This window comes from Homo sapiens, chromosome 11 (genome assembly GCF_000001405.40).
Source record: "Homo sapiens chromosome 11, GRCh38.p14 Primary Assembly".
Classification (NCBI taxonomy): Eukaryota; Metazoa; Chordata; class Mammalia; order Primates; family Hominidae; genus Homo; species Homo sapiens.
Window position 1 is genome coordinate 44218504 of NC_000011.10, and position 18097 is coordinate 44236600.

Consider the following 18097-nt stretch of genomic DNA (forward strand, 5'->3'; position numbering starts at 1 on the left):
ATGGTAAAAGCCATCAGATCACAAGATGACTTAGAGGTTGCAGAGACTGGAGATTGTGCTAGTGGAAAATCTATAGACTTAGTGTTTGAATGGATTGAAGAACCAAGGAGAAGGAAAAGACCAGCTTACTCCATAGCTCAGATTTAATTAGTGATGAGGGGGCCTCACTAATTGGAGAATTCCAGAGCTGAGATGCTGTATAACGTTTATATTTTAAACAGAATTAGTAAAACTTATGGCTATCTATATGTGTATTCAAGGAGAGTAAGAGATTATAGAATCTGCAATTCTTTTTTTTTTTTTTTTTTTTTTGAGATGGAGTCTCACTCTGTTGTCCAGGCTGGAATGCAGTGGCACAGTCTTGGCTCACTGCAACCTCTGCCTCCTGGGTTCAAGTGATTCTCCTGCCCCAGCCTCCCGAGTAGCTGGGATTACAGGAACCTGCCACCATGCCCAGCTGATTTTTTTGTATTTTTACTAGAGATGGGGTTTTCACCATGTTGGCCAGGCTGGTCTCAAACTCCTGACCTCAGATGATCTGCCCGCCTCGGCCTCCCAAAGTGCTGGGCCTACAGGTGTGAGCCACTGCACCCGGCCTAGAATCTGCAATTCTAAATAAATGATCCCACTTTTTCTCTTCTCACTACAACAATTGAAAAATAGAAATGACATATCCTAGAATTAGACTTCATAACCTCCTTTAAAAACTAGCAGATGACTGAGCACAGTGACCCATTCCTGTAATTCCTACACTTTGGGAACCTGAGGTGAGAGAATGGCTTGAGGCCAGGAGTTCAAGACCAGCCTGAACAACATAGTGAGACCTCATCTCTACTAAAAATTAAATTAAAAAAAAAAAAATTAACCAAGTGTGGTGGCGCTCACCTGTAGTCCCAGCTACTCAGGAGGCTGAGTGAGGTGGGAGAATCACTTGAGTCTAGGATCGTGCCACTGCACTCCAGCCTGGGCAACAAAGTGAGACCCTGTCTCAAAAAAATAAATAATTAAAAATAAAAATGCAAAACAAGTCTTGGACATGCTTCTCACAGGCTTGTGCTTATGATCCTTCTGATAAGAAATTAACTGCTTACCTCCCTAGATTTACATTCCAGAATCTTAAATATGAAAATGTGCCTCAGTCTGTTGGGAATCCAGGAGGGTCTCTGCAGAAGGGTTTTTCTTTATGGCACATGGAACCTCCTATCTCATCTTGCCATGGATGGGTTCTAGGAAAGGCTCACCCTTTGAGTTCATCTTGGACAGAGAGAAACTCGGTTCTTACTTACATAGCTGAGGCTGATAAAAAAGGGGGCATCCCTAACAGAGGAACCATAAAACAAAGTACATACCTGCAGTGCATCCACTTCCAATAAATATACTTATTGAAAGTATTTCAGCTTTCAGTGGGAACTAGCACCTTAGATTTTCATTCCTTGACCTCTTGTGTGACTCAGATCGTTGAGCCTAAGTCTGACCTAGTGATGACTGGGAAGATTAGGAATTAAAGTCTTTCTTTCTCTTATCTGGATGGTGGCCTGTATCCAGAGTGCAGTGTGGATCCAGTCTAGTAGTCAGCTTGCACGGCTGCTGGTGTGTTGCTGGTGCTGGAATTCACAGTGAGCCAGGCCTGGTTTTGGTGTGCACAAGGTCAAACCTTGCCAGAGCTGCACTGGATCAACTTTTGTGCTAGGTCTGACACTAAAGCTTTACAGTGTAACTAGGACCAGTTTGCCAAAGTTGAGCTTTTAGAAAACCATAATTTTTTTAGGCCTGTTGTGTACCCTGTTCTTTAAGTTGATGGGTGTGAGCTGTCTTTGAGCCTTGTGTATATATCTGAGTAAGCAACAGTTCCCCCGAGTACCTTTCCTTAGCCTGGCCATAATGTCAGTACAGTATTGAAAAGAGCATATCTCTGTCTGTTACCTCCATTTTTCACTTTTTGGAAGTACCTGAAGGGTTGCCATTATAGAGACTATTGTCTTTAGAAGAGAATGGGCCACAAACAGCTCATTTCTGTGAGTGTTCCCACCTGTCAGGTACAGTTAGAGCTTCCCAAAAGAGACAAATGGAAGACTGTGGTCAGAGGTGAGTCATTCTTTCTTAGAGGATCATCTCCCTGGAGTATTTTTCACATTGCTTCAGGCTCCCTGTTTTTCAGCCTGTAGGAGAACTAAATAATCTATTAGGTCTGTCCTATCTCCAGCTTGCATTGATTTACACCCCCAAGACTCACAGGGACCTGGAGAGAAAATAGTTCATGTGTGCCACGGCTGCAGCAAGTGCTGCTGAAAGAAGATCCCAAGTAGTGGGCCAGAAGCCCAGGGAGGTGCTGAAGGAAGCCGCAGTAAAGCCTGACCTCTCAGAGCTTCTCTAAAGCACCCAGTCCCCATTGGAGAACAAGTCAAACAAATGTTAAGGGAAGGAAATCAAATATGTTTGCTGAACATTGAAATAACATCTGATCATTGAAAAAAAGCACCTAGTTGGGAATTACAAGAGAGTGGCACTTTTTTCTTCCCCACTGAGCAAATTAAAACAAGTTCAGAATTTGTTTATATAGCCATTAATGAAACATCCAATGTAGAACTAGCAGCCTCCCTGCCCCACAGAGGAGGGCACATACTGCTTGCTGGCACATCTGCCCATCTGAGGGTCTCTCCTCCTCGAAGACCCCCATTCCAAATAAGCCCATTCCATTGGTTTTAGTATGTGCCAAGCAGCCCTAGTGAGGAAAGAGCCCTGCAGACCTTTCCATGGCCAGCGCTGTGTGTTCTGCACCCTCACCTCACCCCAGGATCTTTCCTATCTGCAGCACCATGGAGGCCACCTGGTTTCGTATCTCTGCTTCCAAACTAGTGCTCATAATATGAGATCGTTATTTTAAAGAGGTGTTGGTACATTTGATGGTTTAAAGAATATGTACTTTCCCTCCCCCTGTTCAAAATGAGATATCTGCAATGATATTCCAACCCTGAAAGGATCCATATGTTTGAGGGTTATTGTTTTAAAAGCTGCCTGCTGTCTCATTGGGATTGATTACAGGGGAGCTTTGGCTGCTTCAGGAATTCAGAGCTTCAGAATTTGGCTTATGGTTTTGGGATGTGGGGAATTTGTCTTCATGGGCTGTTTATCTGCCTTAATTGTGATAGAGATGCTCCAAGGAGATGTGTGGGCAGGATTGGGCCCAGGGCCAGGGTAAATCAGAGCAGCCCCAGGCCTGAACTCCCCAGTTCACTCAAGACGGCAGTGTATGTAGCTTTCGGAGGAAAGCTCTATCATTTCTCCTGAATATGAAGCTGCACCCATTCATTGCAAAATTGTACAACTGCCTGCAAAATCGTGAGTTTCAGGCAGTGGTTGGTGATTGCTATTGCATTAGACATAGTGATTCCACATTTGGGGAGAATAAAGAGAAAGAAAACTTGAAGGATCAGAGTAGTCCCAGACCTTGGAAATGTCACAACTGTGAAACAAGTCTCTAGAAAGCAAGATAAACTAATCAGTGTGATATTTACAGCTCATCTCTCGATCATATTTATTTCTTGGTGCATGAAAATTGGTTCCTAGGGTTCACATTAATCATGATGAAATATATTTACTACTGTCTGTTGGCTGGTTTAGATCAAGAGTTGGCAACCATTACTAGTAATATTTCTAGGTTCCCAACCAGCATTTAGGCTGAAGATTTCAGGGGTTGGGTGGAGGTCATGACCACATGTTGACACTCTGTGCTTGGAGAGGGAAGGAAGAAACTGACTTCTCACAACCACGGCCACTAAATATATCCACAGCAGAGATCTGGGCTTGATTGAAAGCCTCTTCTCCAGTGTGGTCCATTCATGCAAGAATTGTATCTGCCTTGTTTACCACTGTATGCCTAAATGCTTGACACATAGTAGCTGCTCAATAAATATTTATTGAATTGAATGTGTTTGGACATTGAATTTATATATACTTCCTGTCAGTAGAATTGTAAGGGGTTGTTCAAAGTATGATTCCATATTCCATATTCAGTGGAAAAGTCCTGGTCTTTTCCTTGCTGACTTTTTCAACAAATGGTGCTGAAAGATTGGACATCCATGGGCAAAAATTTAACCTTGGCCTGGACCTCACACTACATGCAAAAATTAACTGAAAGTGAATCAGATTTAAATGTAAAACATGAAACCATAAAACTTTTAGGAAAAAAGGAGAAAGTCTTCAGACTCTAGGGCTAGGCAAAGAGTTCTTAGATATGACACCAAAAGCATGATCCATAAAAAAAAAAATTGACCAATGAGACCTCATCAAAATGTAAAACTTTTGCTCTGTCAAAGACCTTGTGAAGAGGACAAAAAGACAAGCTATATACTTGGAGATAATATTTGCAAACCACATATCCAACAAAGGGCTAAACATCTAGAATATGTTTTTTAAAACTCTCAAAACTCAACAATGAAAAAACAAATAATCCAGTTAGAAAATGGGCAAAGGCCATGAACAGACCTTGCACTGAAGAGGATATACAGGTGGCAAATAAGATGTTCAGTATCATTAACTATTATGGAAATGCAAAATAAAACTGCAATGAGATATCATTACACACCTATAAGAATGGCTAAAGTTAACCAAAAAAATACAAACAGCAAATGCCAATGAGAATACAGAAAAACTGGACCACTCATATATTGTTTTTGGAAATATAAAATGGTATAGCCACTCTGAAAAATAGTTTTGGTAGTTTCTTATAAAATTAAACATGCAACTACCATAGGACTCAGCAATTACACATTTGGGCATTTATCCCAGAGGAATGATAATTTATGCTCACATGAAAACCTATATGTGAATGTTTGTAGCAGCTTTATTTGTAATTGCCAAAACCTGAAATCAGCCCAGGCATCCTTCAGTGGATAAATGGTTAAGCAGACTATGGCACATGCATACCATGGTATATTATTCATCCATAAAAAGAGCAAACTACTGATACACACAACAGCTTGGATGATTCTCCAGGGAATTATGCTGAGTGAAAAAAGCCAGTCCAAAAAGGTCACATACTGTGTGATTCCATTTATATAACCTCCTTGAAATGACAAAATTATAGAAATGGAGGACAGATGGGTGCTTGCCAGGAGTCAGGGATAGGGAGGGAGACAGTTGTGTGTCTTTTTTTTTTTTTTTTGTGACGGAGTCTCGCTCTGTCGCCTGGCGACAGAGTGTAGTGGCGTGATCTCCGCTTACTGCAAGCTCCGCCTCCTGGGTTCACGCCATTCCCCTGCCTCAGCCTCCCTAGTAGCTGGGACTATAGGCACCCGCCACTAGGCCCGGCTAATTTTTTTGAATTTTCAGTAGAGACGGGGTTTCACCGTGTTACCCAGGATAGTCTCGATCTCCTGACCTTGTGATCCACCCGCCTCGGCCTTCCAAAGTGCTAGGATTACATGAGTGAGCCACTGCACCTGGCCCGACAATTGTGTCTTAAAAGTTCAACAGGAGGGACCCTTGTGGCTGTGGAAATGCTCTGTACCTTGATTCTATCAATGTCAATTTCATGTTGTGATGTCATACAATAGTTTTGCAAGATGTTGGGGGAAACTGGGTAAAGCGTATACAGGCTCTCTGCATTATTTCTTACAACTACATGTGAATCTATAATTATCTCAAACTAAAATGTTTAATTTAAAAAATATTGGGAGCTTAGTATCTGTGAGTCAGATGCATAATGAATTAATAAAATAAGAACACTCAAATCTCTCCGTCCCTAAACTTGTATGACTTTAGCTTGATGTTGGATTGCCTTTTCTGAATCTTAATATCAAAATTAAGATTTTAAAACTAGATGGAGTATATCTGGAGATCTATCTATCTATATCTATATCTATATTTATTAGATATATGTGTACATATATTAGATATATGTGTTTATATTTATATTGAATAATATTGAGGACATCATCTGTTATGATACTTTGGACTTTAGTTTTGCCTTTTATTATAAGTGACCCCAAATCATTTTTTGGAAATAGATGAGATATAAATAAATAAGTAATCTGAAAAAGTCCCTCTGCTGCTTGATTCTCCACCAAGAGATTATGGGATTTAAGCACACATATAGGGCACTAGGATGAAATAACGCATTAAATAATGTTTTGGGAAGCAGATTTATGCTTTGAAGCCAGCCAGAATTACTGAGTTTGTGGTCACTGTCATTTCGTACCTTTGCACAGTAATAAGAAAACAAAGGGGATATGCTGTAGTGTCCCTGACTGCAAGTGATGGAAGTCAGCAGGGCAGCTACTTGAAGTAAGCAGAGTTTATTTTCTCCTTGGTGGACAGAGCTAATATCTTTGATCCCTGGTCATTTAAGTTGAGCCTCACCAAAATCAACTTGAAATTTTGAAGGCCCAATAATAGTTGTTTATAAGAAACTGAAGTCTCTGTTTCCACTGGTTGTGTAGGATTTAAAGAGAATCATCATTTGGCTTATGATGACTATTCTCCTTTTAACTTCATTAAGCAATCTCCTGAGATTAGACTTAGAAATAGTATGACCCACACTGGAGCTGAGGTTATGGAAATAAAAGTGATTTCATCTTTACTGGGTCTTAGGGAGCACAGAATTAGAAAACCCACGACCTGATCCTGACCCATCTCTTCCTCCTCCTCCCATCCCCTCAAACTCTCATCTCTCCTTCCCTTCTTATTATCTCCCAAGAGATTCATTGCCTCATGAAAAATAGTATTTGGGGTTAATCTTTCATTTAGCTGCTTTTTGCTTGTGTTTCCTTCTCTGCCTCAGAGCCTCACAGATTACGAGGTTCCAGTAGGCCCTCAGATGTCAGATGTGGAGTCTCACTAGTTTGCTGCACAGCTGACTGGAGTTCTTTCTTTTAATGGTGTGAGCATATGGCTTTCTTTGCTAGATGGAAACCACATTCACAAAGAGCCTGTAGCTTTTAGAAATGAAGACTGATGGGAGCAAAGGGTTTTTTCGTGTTCCCTGCCTCCTCTCCCTACCTGGTTCTATTCTGAATCTGGTCATTCAGCAGGCACCTGTGACCCTCTTCATATCTGCCACTGGCACCACAGAGCTGAAGAACATTGACCCTGAATGTCGTTTTTGACATCATAATCTGACTTCTTTGTTTTCAGGTGAGGGGCTGAGCTTGGGGACAATAAGGTGCTTTTTAGAATTAGCATAGTAGGAAGTCAGATGACTTCATGAATAGAAGATTGGACTGGGAGTTCGGGCCAATTTAGACTTGACCCAGCACTGTAACCTTGGGAGAACCATGTCTCTCCAGGTCTCAGTTTTCTCATCTGTGCAATGAGGGAACTGGACCAAGTCACCTCTGCCTTCTACATGATCTCTGAGGTTGCAGATCTCTGAGATAGCTTGGACAGTGGTCATCAGCTCCAACTGCCAAAGTGTGAGTCTTCTTATTATCCACAGAAGGCTCATGGTTATGCTGTCCAGTGAGCTGGTACAGATACAAGGATGAGGCACATGTTTAAAGACACTTTCTTTGGCAGTATCTTCCTAGTAGTGGTAATTATTGAAAGATTTAATGGCACAGATTTTTTTATCAACTATGGCCAACCCCAGTCTGTCTCTTTGCCATCTTCATGGCACCTGGCCTTAAAAAATAACTTGCAAAGAATGGAGATCAGGTGCCCCAGTACCAAGGTACCAACCTCTAGCCAGACTGGAGCAAATGGGAATGCTGCCCAAACCCCAGAAGCCTGCCCATGTAATTGGTTTTCCTGCGTGGCTTATTTTAAGCAAGCTCCTGCCTGGGGTTGGGAAGGTCTCTCGGACAGACTAAAGTGATCTCACAGGTAAATCTTAATCCATAATGCAGTTTGTCCATGTGTTTGTCAAAACTAGTCAGCATTAGGGAACTCTACATGACAACTTCTGGGCTCCTTGGCTGTAGATGGCTAGTATCAGCATTGAATTGTGTCCCAGGAGTGAATGAAGGCTCCTTGGCTTTTCTCAAAGCACATCCTTGACAAAAACTGCCAACTACCACTGTAGTTAAAAGCATAAGCTGAAAATGAAGGCAGTCAGTCCCTCCATTCCACTTCATTTCAGGAAATTCCAAAAATAAAAGGTGAGCTTTGTTCCCAGAGGGCTGAGAGTGAATCCTATAACTGGCTCCTCTGTGGAAACCAGCTCGGAATTGGAAGCCAGCCAGCTGCCCCTTTCCCATCTGGGCAGCATGCAAGACGAAGCCTGAAGGGAAGAAGGGCCACTAATTCAAAGATGCTTTTGCATATTGGATTCCTTGTGCTCTGTCTTGGCTGACCCAGCCATGTGACAGCAAGGTTTGAGCTGGTTCATAGAGCTCTGTTGCACTTTAATGGTTAAGGATTGACCAAACTCAGGCAGTGTGTGCAAGGAAGGAAATGAAGCCATTGCCAAATTTGATGTGCCTTGGATCTATAGACTGCACCCCCAATTCCATTTCTCTCACTACTTCTTAGTCTGTCTCTTGGTTCATGAGTCCTGATACATTGCTCACCCAGTAGCAATATCCCTGTGGAACTGTGCCTTTGACAGTGTGATGACTGTAGAAGCCACTTCAGAGTGGCTTTTCTCCTAGTGCTGGCCCGTGATTTCATAACTGAACGTCCCAGATGGGCACCACCTGTTGTTACACCTTCCCCCTTCTCCCCCTAGTCTGTTTCCGGAATCTGACTGCGGTTAGCACACACCCTGAGTTTAAAATGCACTCTCTAAGCTGGCTTAGAAGGTAGTGCATTAACTTCTTTTTAGGACCATTTATTGGGTACTTCTATGTGTATGGCATTTTAAACAAAGTTAGATAATGCAGCCCATGCTGTTTAGAAACTTACAACTTGAAACAGATCACAATTGGTGGGTTAGTTCCCTGGGAACAGGTCAGTGAGGAGGAAGATAAAAAATCTCAGCTGTTAAAGGACATCAGAATTCACTTAATCCAATCCCTTATTTTATAGATGGCAAAATGGAAGCAAGACACCTTGAATAGGTCAGTTGCACAATGCACTAGTGGCAGAGCTTCCTGGACCTACTTTAACCATGTGCCTCTGGTCCACTTTCTATAGGATGTGAGACTCAATCTAGGCTGCCCCCTGTGGGCTTTTACACAAAGGTAGAAGATATTTGTTTGATCCTATCTATAGTAATGGGACACGACAAAAGACCTCAGGAGGCTCAAGAAAGAAGAACTTGGAAAATGGCCAAGTAAGCATAGCTGAGAATCTAGAGAGCAGAACATTTCCATAATCAGGTAAGAGGTGTTGAGGACCAACAGGTAAGAGGTGTTGAGGATCCTTCACTAGAATGTAAGCTCCTTGGGAGAAGTCTCCTTGAATACCTTGTCCATCACTTTAACCCCAGTACCTGGAAGAGTGTCCAGCATAAAGGTTGGGTTAATAAACATCTCAAGTCTGATGGAAGCCTATGAATGCTTACTATGCAACTTCACACAATCCTTACAACAGCCCTATGATGTAAATATAAAAATTAGAATGGAAAGAAACAGTTGGAGGACGTTCTTACATTGTTACAATCCCCATTTGACTAGTGGTGTGGGATAGCCACAAATGGAAGGACTATCCAAATTATTGCTAAGTCCCTAACTTAGGCATAGAGTTTTTTATAACAGAGATAGGCTTCTGTCCCCAAAGATGCGTGCAATTTAAAATAGATGGGGGCACTATATATATGGAGGATTTCAACAGTATAGACAATTTAATATTGACTTTGTGAATAATATAACTGTGGAAGCACTGTTACTGGAACTCCAGGGATATTCTGTGAAGTTTCAAATGCCCACACCACAATATATAAAGGCATTTGGTAGTAATGACAAAAGGCTTACCCAGAGCATTTCCCCAAGGTAAAAGGAAAAAAGTTGAATTAGAGTAGGGGTGGGTAGCCATGAAGAGACAGGGTAGAGTTTGAGCTCTTGCTCGTCTGGCTGGGAAAATGCTTTACTGTATACATAATCGACTTCGTACTACACTAGGGCTCAATTAGAGAGGGCCCATCCCATTCTGTTTCACTCCGTTTTGATCCTGTAGTCAGCTGCAGAGTTATAGATTAAGTGACAAGGATGGTATCTTGATTGTATCCAGCTGCTTGGAATCAGTCAAGGGCTGAGAGGCCCCGCATGAGGAACAGCGCTCACTATAAAGGCTCCAAAGCAACCTGAAATTCAGGACACCTCTGATGCCTTTTAGAGCAGCATAGTTTAGTATCTGACCCATTGTCACCAAATTAAGTCCCTGAGAGGAGTCTGATAAGTGATTTCAGCCAACAGTAAGAGGACCGAAATCTTAACAGCATTGGACTTGACAACTGAGCCAATAATAGTAATAATGTAATTATTATGGCTGCAAAAGTGGGGCTTGTAAAGAAGAATCCCTAGGGAAAGCGATTTGAACTTTTCTTAGCATGGAGGAGAGAGCTGTGTTGACTCAAAGTAAACAGGGGGAGAAAAGCAACTTCCATCTTCAGCAGAAGTGCCAACTGAATTGGATGCCCCCTCCCCATGCCCTACTCCTTTTCTTTCACTTTGGCATCCCTGGTGTTTAGTTATGTGTGCTTGGGGCCCTTCGGAAATCTCTTTAACCCCATGAATCAGTGATCATGGCATTGGTGTGACTTGAACAGGCAGGTGCTTGGTGCTGAGAAAAGGAAGCTGGCAGCACATTTCATGGCATCTGCCCAGGCCCACAAAACAAACAGAAGTTATGGCTCACATACTGTGTTGCTGCTCTGGGCTCTATAAAACTGTAATAGTATCATATTATTTTAATCTGCTGAAATACAAATCCCAGAGTAGAGAGAACACAGCAGCAGCATTACACGTCTGAGAAAATGTTTGACATGGATTCATTTGTCTGCAGCTATTATGACGATGCCTGCGGTCGATTAGCTCTGTTGGTTACAACACAGTGTTAATGAAGCCAAGGTTGTGGGTTTGAGAGCCCTGTTAGGTGAGCTGGTTTCACACAAATGAAAGCTCTTTTCATGATCCCAGACCACGCCCAAGACCTAGGTCAGACATTCCATAAAAACACGGAGATGGTCACAGTGAGGACTGGGCAAGACAGTGCAGTGTCTCACCAAAAATGCCCCTTTACCTGCTTCTGGAAAAACAAGTCACAACATGTGCTTTAGTGGGGAATTAGGACTGTGGTCTTCACACAGAATGGATATCACGTTATTATTCATGGTAACTGCTGGTCAGTACTGCTGCAGGCTTCCTTCCTGAATTAAGGAATATACTGGCTCTGGTAAATATTTTCTCTGAAGAAAAGAGAAGGATTTTTGGTCCCCTTCATTCTTGGCTTTTTACTCACTGAGATTCTGCCCATTCGTGTGTTAGACAACTGTGTGTGGAATGTTGTTGCATACCAGGCACTGTTCTTTGTGCGTGGAATACCACAGTGTATAAAACAGTCTCTGTCCTCTTTGAGTTTAAATTCTGCAAGAGGAAAATACATAATAAACAATAAATAACCAATATAATGGTGCAAGTGAAAGTTTGGTAAAGAAAAGGATGAGGTTGGAGGGGTGTAGCGAGGAGTGGCTGGTTGCGGGTGCTGTTTGCTTCAGCAAGGAAGGTTCGAGAAGCCCTCTCAAAGTAGTTGACATTTAAACAGGGACCTGACAGATGAGAAGGACCCAAGCCTTTGGAAGAGCTGGAAGAACACTCCAGCCAGAAGAAACAGCAAGTGCAGAGGGCTTGAGGTCTAGTGGTGGCTGAAGAACAGAAGGGCCACTGGAGAGTGAGGGGACATGGTGAGAGAAGAGGTGAAGAGTGGATGGGCCCTCTGTGACATGTGAAGGAGTTCGGATATTATTCTCAGTGCAGTAGGAAGCCATTTTGTTTTGTTTTGAGGGCGGGACCTTTCTTTAAATATTTTGGGAGCGATATTATGGGTTGAATTGTTGAAGTCCTGATCTTCAGTACCTCAAAATGTGACTTTATTTGGAAATGGGGTATTTTCAGAGGTTAATCAAGTTAAAATGTTGTCAGGGTGACCCCTAATTCACAGACTGATGTCCTTATCGAAAGGGGAAATTTAGACACAGAGATAGACTTGCACAGGGGGGAAGATGGCCTTGTGAAGATGGAGGGTTGGAGTGAGGCATCTACAAGCCAGGCAATGCCAGAGATTGACAGCCAGCTACCAGAAGCTAGGAAGAGGCAAGGAAACATTTCCCGATATGTTTCAGTGGGAGCATGGCCTTAATAACGCCTTGCTTTCAGATTTCTAACCTCTAGAACTTGAGACTAGTTTCTGATCTAAGCCCCCCAATTTGTGGTTCTTTGTTAACAGCAACCCTAGGAAACTGAAAAGGGCATAGGGTCCAAACACACTGGCTCTGCCCTAGGGAATGGCATGAAGTGTCCTTTCTGGACTCAGCAACACTTGTGTGTTGGGGAAGCCTCTAGTTGCTCTGGCATATGATCATATGACTTTTATATATATTTAGGGAAATCGATGATGAAAATAACTATATTAAAATAGATATAAAATAGGATAGAATGCACTAGTTGAATTACCCTGTGCAGAATACCCTAATATTCTTTTAGGAATGGTCCTTTTAGGGATGCTGTGCAAATGATGCTTTGGAAGGGCAAGAATGGCACGAAGGAGACAAGTTAGAAGGCTAGCACAGTAATCTTGGTGATAGATCGTGGTGGTTTGGGCTAGAGGGAATGGCACTAGAGGTGGTAAGAGATAGAAGAAGAGCCAGCAGTACTCGCTAATGGATTGAACATGAGGAAAGGAAGGAATAAAGACTGAGTCTTAGCTTTTGGGTTTGAGCAACTGGCCGGATGATTTATTGAGATGGAGAAGATTGAGAGAATGACTTGTCTAGGGATAAGGAATCAAGACTTATGTTTTGGACGTGTTAGGTTTGTTTATCCAGGTGGAGATATTAACTAAGTGGTTGGCTATCTTAGGAACATTCGGGGCTAAACATAAATTTAGAGGTCACCAGATTATTGATGATATTTAAAGTGATTGAAACTAGATGAGACTACTTAAAGAAAGAGTTTGAAGAAGAGAATAGAGCCTAGGACCGAATTCTCAGAAGTCTGGTGATGGTTGAGGAACTAGCAACAGAGACTGAGAAGAAGCACCAAGACTAGCCAACAAATTGTTATACTCATTCATGGTATGGATCTTTTCAAGGTTAGACTAAATTATACAGAAACACATGGGAGAAGGTACTGGAAGTTCCTCATCCCCAGTATACCCAATTCTGCTTAATCCAACAAAGCTCTTATGTAAGGACCTTTCCAGATTTGGAAAGCAAGTATTTGTTTTCATTGTTTTACAGATTACAGAATCAGACAGCCCTTCTATCCTTTAGGCTTCCAGTAGGTCATAAGAATGGTGTATGCTCAAGAGAAATAGATGCTTTTTTTTAATAAGAAATGGGACTTTATCATAAGTTTTCATAATCACCAATTTAATACAAATCAGGGCAGTTGAGTTGCAGGGTTCCATTTATCCTTCATTTTGTGAATTCATTAAGAATGGAACCTATTTCATTAATCATATGTTAAGAGATTGCCTACCTTGGCCCAACTCAGTAAGCTATTACCCCCACATTAATTGAAATTCCCAAGCATATACAAGAAGATTGGGAGGAAGTCAGAATCAGCATCTGTCTTTGAGTTTTGGCAGAATAACTAACACCTGTTTGATGGAACATCTCCAGAATCCCATTATGACCTTCTTAGGTTATGATGGTTTGAACCTAGGAAGTCTGTTGATACCTGTTTGGATAACTCAGCACTGAATGGTTGCTGTCTGAATTGGGACTTGATTGTTATTATGTGTCTGTCCTTAGGTCTGGCGGGAATTTCCTGACCGGTTGGTGGGTTACCCGGGTCGTCTGCATCTCTGGGACCATGAGATGAATAAGTGGAAGTATGAGTCTGAGTGGACGAATGAAGTGTCCATGGTGCTCACTGGGGCAGCTTTTTATCACAAGGTAAGGGGGCGCAGTCCTGGCAAGGTGACAAAACTGAGAGAATGATACACATTTTATTTGACCCAATTTAATTTTTCATACCTGCCAAGAGGGCTTAGAAAAGCCATATTGTGTGACAGTATTTTACAAATAAAGCTATCCTTTTTCTAATTATAAAAGTAATGCACGCTCATAGTAGAAAATATGAAAATAGAATGAAGAAAAGTTACTTGTAATCCTGTCACTTCGAGATAACCATTTTATCATTCAGGTGCTATTTCCAGCTTGCCGTTTATTTATTTACTTACTTGTATGTATACACAGACAGTTGTAAATATTCTCATTAGCCTGCTTTTTCATGGATTGTATTGTGAGCCTTTTCTCATGTCATTGACATTTCTTCATAAACAGTTACTTGTTAGCATAATTAAGATACCATTATCTTAATGTTTTAGAAGTCATGTATAACTATTTTGCTATCGTGGATATTACTTTCTAAATTTTTGCTATTTTAAATAACGCTTAATATCTAATGTTAGTGATAGATGTCCATTTTCATAACTGTTTGTACTCATGACCATTGTGATAGATTCCTAGAAATAGAATTATTATATCAAAGGGCATGAATATTTTGGGTTTTTTAAGATGTATGTACATACATGTATATATACACATATACATATATATGTTGTGAATATTCTAAGCATATATATGTTGTGTATGTATACGTGTGTGTGTGTCTGTTGGTTTCAGGATTGTTTGTGCAAATTTACACTCCCACCAGCAAAATATAAAACTGTTTTACCATGCCTTTTCTTGCATGAAATATGATTAATAGAAAAGAAATGAGCAATTTTGATAAGTAAAAGTGAATTTTATTGTTTTAACTTTGATTTGATTACTAGTAAGACTGAAATTCCTTTTGTGTATTTATTAGCTTTTTGTACTTCCTCTCTTCTGGGAATCATCACTTCGTGTTTTTGACTCTTTTTTTATTAGGGAGAGATTGGGGAATATGCATTTGATTTTAGAATATTCAGTTCAATAGTAGAATGCTCCCTGGGAGTATATGGTTTAATTAAACAATCATAACTTGTCTGTTGTCAGCAGTAGCATAAAGAACTGATGTCGGGAGAAAGGTCTGTTCAGCTCAACACAGTTAATTTAATTTAGCTGTATTCATATCGATTGTTTGTTGTTAGCTCAGCACTACTGCCCTCATATTTTTCAGGTCTCTAGATCCAGAAATGGGTTTTTTTATTTTGTAATAAGCAAACAAAAAAACCCAAAAACTAAGGTTTACAATTCATGGGATTTACAGTAGTAGACTATGTATGCTTTATTTTTTTTGACCCAATAATTTCTACACTATTTCATATATATGGTAGTTTTAGAATTGCCTCATTTTTCTTCTACTTTAAAAAGCACACACTTTGGTAGAAAATGACCATATTGAACATGCTTGGTCACTTGACCAAAAGCATTCTAATGCCTCCTTTTACCCTTCCTATTAATACAGCCTTGTGATTAATCTTATGAGAGAAAGCTTGTCCCCATGCCTTGGCTATGCTGCCCCTTATTTATCAGCTAAAGGGAACTGCTATTTTTGAATATTTCTTCTTTCTGTCTCACTTGACAGTATTTTAATTACCTGTATACCTACAAAATGCCTGGGGATATCAAGAACTGGGTAGATGCTCATATGAACTGTGAAGATATTGCCATGAACTTCCTGGTGGCCAACGTCACGGGAAAAGCAGTTATCAAGGTAGGAGGCTCTGCCACTCACTTGCTTTGTGATCTTGGGCAAATATCTATTATCTGAGCCTAGGAAGTTCTTGTAACTATAAATTAAATATAGGACTAGATAAACTTTAAGCTCTATTTTAGTTTAAGGTTCTATGATTGATGCGGTCACATTGGGAAATTGAAGCTAGGCTTTGACAATTTAAACATATTTTCTTTTTTTATACAGTTTCTTTAGTTGCAGTTTTTAACCTTCAGTATCAGAATAAAGGCTATGATGATCAGTCTATAAATCAAAAAATTATATTCTCAAAGCTGATATGGGTTCTAGTTCTTTTAGTTAAAGGATGTAGTTTAAATTTTTCTTAAGGTAGCTGGTTTTTTTTTTAATAGATGTTGAGAAAATAGTACACCTCATACAGTTATGTAACTGTAGCTGTCCTAAACACAACGAATTTAATTGCTTTTAAATATCAATTACCAGTTTTTAAAAGTACCTTTCCCATAACATATTAAAAGCTGAGAATACACAAAGATCCTATGGGAGGCTTTTGTATCTGTAAAAGATGCCTGTTTATTCCTGAAATTTAGACATTGCTCAAATAAGATCCCTAGATATGTAGAGAAGGTACACTTCTTTATATGAGTAGAATCATCTTGGTCTTTTTTGCTTCTAGATTAGAATTTTGTGTGTTAAAATGGGCAATGCCAGGTTCCCTAGCAATCTGCCTAGAAAGCCAAATTCCTAGGTGAGCTTATGCTGGAAGCATGGTACAGCATTATCCATTGATTCCTTATGCTATTAATTGATAAGAGAAGCCAGATTAAACCAAAGTGTATAGGGAATAGGAAAAATCACTATCTGTGCTCACCAAACTTGCCCCAGTTCACACCCTGTCCCCCAGCTCTCTAAATAACTCAGTGAACAGCTGACCACAAAAAAAATTAAATAACATAAATTGTGAGAGTTGTTTTAAAGGGACCCTTCCCATCCCCAAATTTGCTTTTTTTTTTTTTTTTTTTTTTTTTGGTGAGACTGAGTCTTGCTCTGTCACCAGGCTGGAGTGCAGTGGCACAGTCTCGGCTCACTGCAGCCTCTGCCTCCTGGGTTCAAGCAATTCACAATTCTCCTGCCTCAGCCTCCTGAGTAGCTGGGACTACAGGTGCACGCCGCCATGTCCGGCTAATTTTTTTTTTGTATTTTAGTAGAGACGGCATTTCACCATGTTGCCCAGGCTGGTCTTGAACTCCTGAGCTCAGGCAGTCCACCCGCTTCGGCCTCCCAAAGTGCTAAGATTACAGGTGTGAGCCACTGTGCCTGGCCCCAAATTTGCTTTTTAACATGCTTCAACATGTTTTTAGCTGTGGCTGCTTACTCTGGACAGTAATGCCCAGTGTCTCTATGCTTCTTAGCCTAGACTTAGTTATCTAGCTTTCTTTCCCTTCCATCTCTTCACTGTTTATTTATCTTCACTAGGTTGGGATAGCAGCTTCCCCTGAGTTTGCTAGGGAGATCGCTAGTTAAGGTTTGAGAGTGTAGTGGGGAGTCAGGGAAAAAGATTCAGAGTATGAGGGACGATTCAATTTTTTTCTTGACTCAAGGGAATTGCAAAATAGCTTGGCATCCTCAAGAGCATGGTGCTGCTCATAGCATTTGCCATTAGCTGGAAAGAGGAGAAAGAGCGCCTGTTGGAACTAAGGTTACGGTGAAAGTTATGGGAAGCTGTATTTCATCGCCCTTATGGCTACAAGAACAAATGGTGTTTATACAAGGACCTTGGCAGTGAGAAAACAGTCATTAAACAGGAATTAAGGAGCTTGTCATCACCACTTCTTTCCAGTTACAGAAGGCAAAAGCCCTCCAAGCCTTTTTTATTGGGCCCTTGTGAGTTCTGCCGTTGGCTGAGCCAGACAGAGTTGAATGGAGGAATGGCGAGGTGTGTGTGTGTGTGTGTGCACGCGCATGCAACATCTCAGCTTACAACACAAAAGAATGCAGTGTGGTGTCACAAGCATGATTTTATTGTCCTTGACACTGACAGCCAGGTATGTTTTTGTCCTCCTCTGGCAGGTAACCCCACGAAAGAAATTCAAGTGTCCTGAGTGCACAGCCATAGATGGGCTTTCACTAGACCAAACACACATGGTGGAGAGGTAAGTGAGCCTCCAACCAAAAGTGCGCCTTAGCCTCTGATCTCTATTTCCTGCCTTAGGCCTGTTTATGGGGCTTTGTTGGAGATATAAGGACAGCAGCTGGTAGCCATAGTCACCTCCATGTGCACTGTGGGAATTGGGTTAGTTCAAGCCCAGGTCACCCAAAGAATTAATTTGGAATGCTACTCACTCAATTTGTAATGGCTGGAAGGGTCTTAAAAATAT

General features: G+C 41.0%; 1 protein-coding gene across 9 annotated transcripts in view; it reads left to right on the forward strand.

Moving 5' to 3' along the window:
- The window catches only part of EXT2 (exostosin glycosyltransferase 2), a 156285-nt gene that overhangs the window by 122826 nt on the left and 15362 nt on the right, over window positions 1-18097 (forward strand). For all 9 annotated transcript variants that reach the window (XM_047426529.1, NM_001389630.1, NM_001178083.3 and 6 more), the window contains 3 exons: window positions 13850-13993; window positions 15612-15740; window positions 17790-17872. In XM_047426529.1, the coding sequence (XP_047282485.1) occupies window positions 13850-13993; window positions 15612-15740; window positions 17790-17872 (356 nt within the window). The remainder of the gene's footprint in view (window positions 1-13849; window positions 13994-15611; window positions 15741-17789; window positions 17873-18097) is intronic.